This window comes from Homo sapiens, chromosome 2, assembly GCF_000001405.40.
Source record: "Homo sapiens chromosome 2, GRCh38.p14 Primary Assembly".
Taxonomy (NCBI): domain Eukaryota; kingdom Metazoa; phylum Chordata; class Mammalia; order Primates; family Hominidae; genus Homo; species Homo sapiens.
In genome coordinates, this window is record NC_000002.12 from 31,429,127 (window position 1) to 31,432,064 (window position 2,938).

A 2,938-nucleotide genomic window follows, 5' to 3' on the forward strand; every position below is an offset into this window, starting at 1 on the left:
CTGCCAGTTTTACACCTCAATGCTTTTGCCCAGGTCATTTGCTCAGCCTAGAACTCCCTTTCCCCTAATAAAATCATGTAAAGCTCAGCTTAAATGCAACCAGCTCTTAAAAGCCTATGACCTTGGACTCCCCACACAACCACACCTAGGGAAACTCACTGGTCTTTCATTCATGTCCATTGTTATTTTATACCTATGTCTATTATGGCATATCACACAGAAACCAGATCTTACTTGTTTTTGAATCCACATTAACATGTAGTAGTGGTCAGTAAATACTTGCTCAATGACTTCTGCTCAGTAAAGAAAAGCCACTGATTCTTCTCAAACAGTCTACCTAAGGTTGCTTCCCTCTCACCCGGAAGAGAAAGTCGTCTTGTGCTTATTCTCCTCATCACTCTTCTCCTTTTTCTTCCTCTTCGCCATTGTTATGACCATGCACTGTGGTTTAATATGGTTTTCTTGTTTATTTATATACATCAATTCATGGCAGCTTCATATATGTGATATTGTAAGTCTCATTTTCTCCTGAAGAAATAGTTTCTGAGAGTGACGAAGCAGCAGAACTTTCACTTGAAGCCCACTTGTTAGTTCTAGAATCAGCACTCCTTCTACTCCACTAGATCCCTGAGGTTCAGACCTGAGCACTCAGGTGGGTCTCACGACAGAGCAGCTGATGCAGGGCCTGGTGGAGGATCCACACAGAGATTTAATCAGCAGTGGATTGGGGCCAAGAAGGAAGAGTCAGGAAGGAAATCCCCAATGTGTGAAAAACAAAACCACAACAATCAACAATGAAAATCCAGGGACAGGGAAGTGAGTTCCACCTAAATAAACCCCAATCATTGGACATGCTGGCTTAAGTGAACTAGGACTTTCCAGAAAACGGGAGGTCACATGGGAGTGACTCAAGGTTTCAACCTCTGAGGGCAATGATTGCTGGAAACTATCTCACAAGGAACACTTCTGAAGGGATTTGGAAAGAATGCTTGCTAAAGGAAGGAAGCAGTCCAGAAATGGACAAATGAATCCATAAGGAAGGGCTGAGAAAGGGACAGGTGGGAAAAGCGGTCTCGGTGAAGATGAAGGAGGAAGTCAGAAAGTAGTTCAAAAAAACCAATTCTAGCAGACGGAGGATGAGCCAGGCACTCCTGCCCACCTCTGTGGCCTTGTGGTTTCCTGTGGCATGATGCCAACTTAATTCTACACAAGCCAGGTGAGTCAGTGCTGGCAAGAAGTCACTGAGAATGGGCCAGACCATGGACTTGTCTTCCCCAACTCCACCAAAAGCCCTGGAAAGTGAGACACTCTCTCTCATTTCCCGCTGAGAAAGGAGAAGCCCCTCTGCTTGCTGCTTTTCCCCTCTCAAAGCTCTTCCTAGGTTTCCTCTTTGCCCCTTCAGGAAGCAAAGGTCTCACACTCAAGTCCCTTACTGCTTAGCCGTGCAGTGGGGCAGCTATGATTCACTTTTACATTGTGTTGGAAGCATGGCGCTGCATCAGCATTTGTAGAACCAGATAAGGAATACCTACATTAATACCAACTTGTGTCTGTGAAGGCCAGTTTTCCAGAGCTAAAGAATAAGGCGTGAGAGTCAGATATCAACTGCAAAAATCAGTCATTTGTCTGACCTAAATTAAAGACTCATCTTCACGTGCACAGAACCCGCCTTCTCCCTCAATTAGGGCCTGGAGATCCATCCCTTTCCTGTCAGCACCCACTGAAAAGAGAGGAAACAGCAAGGAAAGGGTGGGAAGACACTGCTTCTGTACAAAGCTTAACAGAACTCAGGTGTGCCATTCAAAATTCCACCAGGAGCTTCCTCAAGGCCCAACTATGACAGGCCTTGAAATGTCCAGCAGAACCACAAGCTGACAATTAGTCACCATCAAGAGCCGGTAGATCAGCTTGAGAAAAGACACGGCAGCAGCCAGCAGGCACAGTGGGTGGCACCGTCTAAGATGTGGATGTCTGTGGCAGCCCCAGCATGTCCCCCTAATTATGGTGTGCTCTTTGACTCAGGAGACATCACCTACAATTAGTTCTGGGACACGTTCTGGGGAGAGGGGCCTGCAGCAGGCTTTTTCTCTTCTGCAGCACCTGTGGTACACAGATAGACACTGGGTGATACCTAGGAAGGTCTCGAGCCAGCAGCTCCAACCGAGCCCTGTGCCTCCCTGGTTTCCTATGGGGGCCCGAAGCTTGTTTTTGCTGGCACAACCTATGCCCGAGTAACCGACAGGAATTGGGAAAGAAGGCTCTGCTGTTTTGACTCCAAAACTTGCCTCTCAGAGCTCTTCCATTACACTTGTAAGAACTAATTTTTGTCACAAAGGAACTATTTTCAGGAGACTGAAAAATATCCTTCAATACCAGACCAGAAGGAAGAGCTTTCAAAGAAAAAGATCCTAGGGATGAGATTTAGAGAAGGAGATATTAGAGATTAGTAGTGGTCTGTGCATTTTCAGTAACATACAGAATGGAAGGGATAGAGAGACAGAGGAGAAGAAGAAGAAGCAAGAATTCAAATGTTTGTAGATCTCAGGTTCACAACTCACTAGCTCTGCATCCATTGGCAAGATCTTTATACTCTCTGACCCTATGTCCCCATTATTTAATGGAGACAGTAATAGTTTCCTTACCTGGTGGTTGTAAGAAGACAATGTTTGTTAATGCCAGGATTAGAGCAAGTATCAAGAAGTGTTTCTGAAAGCAGAAGTTGGAGCTTGGCAGTATTTTATACGTATTTTATGCCACTCTCCCAAAGACTTCCTGGCCGTGTGCACCTACCAATAAAGTAATGATGTTCTCTCAGCACCTTCTAGGGAAAAGGTTCTGAATCCCACATTGAGACACAGCAATGACCACCAGCAGGCAGAGAGAGAGAGAGAGAGCACGAACTCCTCCTGTGAGGCCTGTCTTGGGCCAAACTGTGGAA

The 2,938-nt window shown here is 45.7% G+C and overlaps 1 annotated feature.

Moving 5' to 3' along the window:
- Positions 510 to 1,709: an enhancer, noted in NCBI's record as "CDK7 strongly-dependent group 2 enhancer chr2:31652502-31653701 (GRCh37/hg19 assembly coordinates)". NCBI's record gives its function as "activates an origin of replication core promoter dependent on BRD2, BRD4, P300/CBP, MED14 and CDK7 cofactors, with strong dependence on CDK7, by STARR-seq in HCT116 cells {active_cell/tissue: HCT116}" and the evidence as "EXISTENCE:reporter gene assay evidence [ECO:0000049][PMID:35650434]".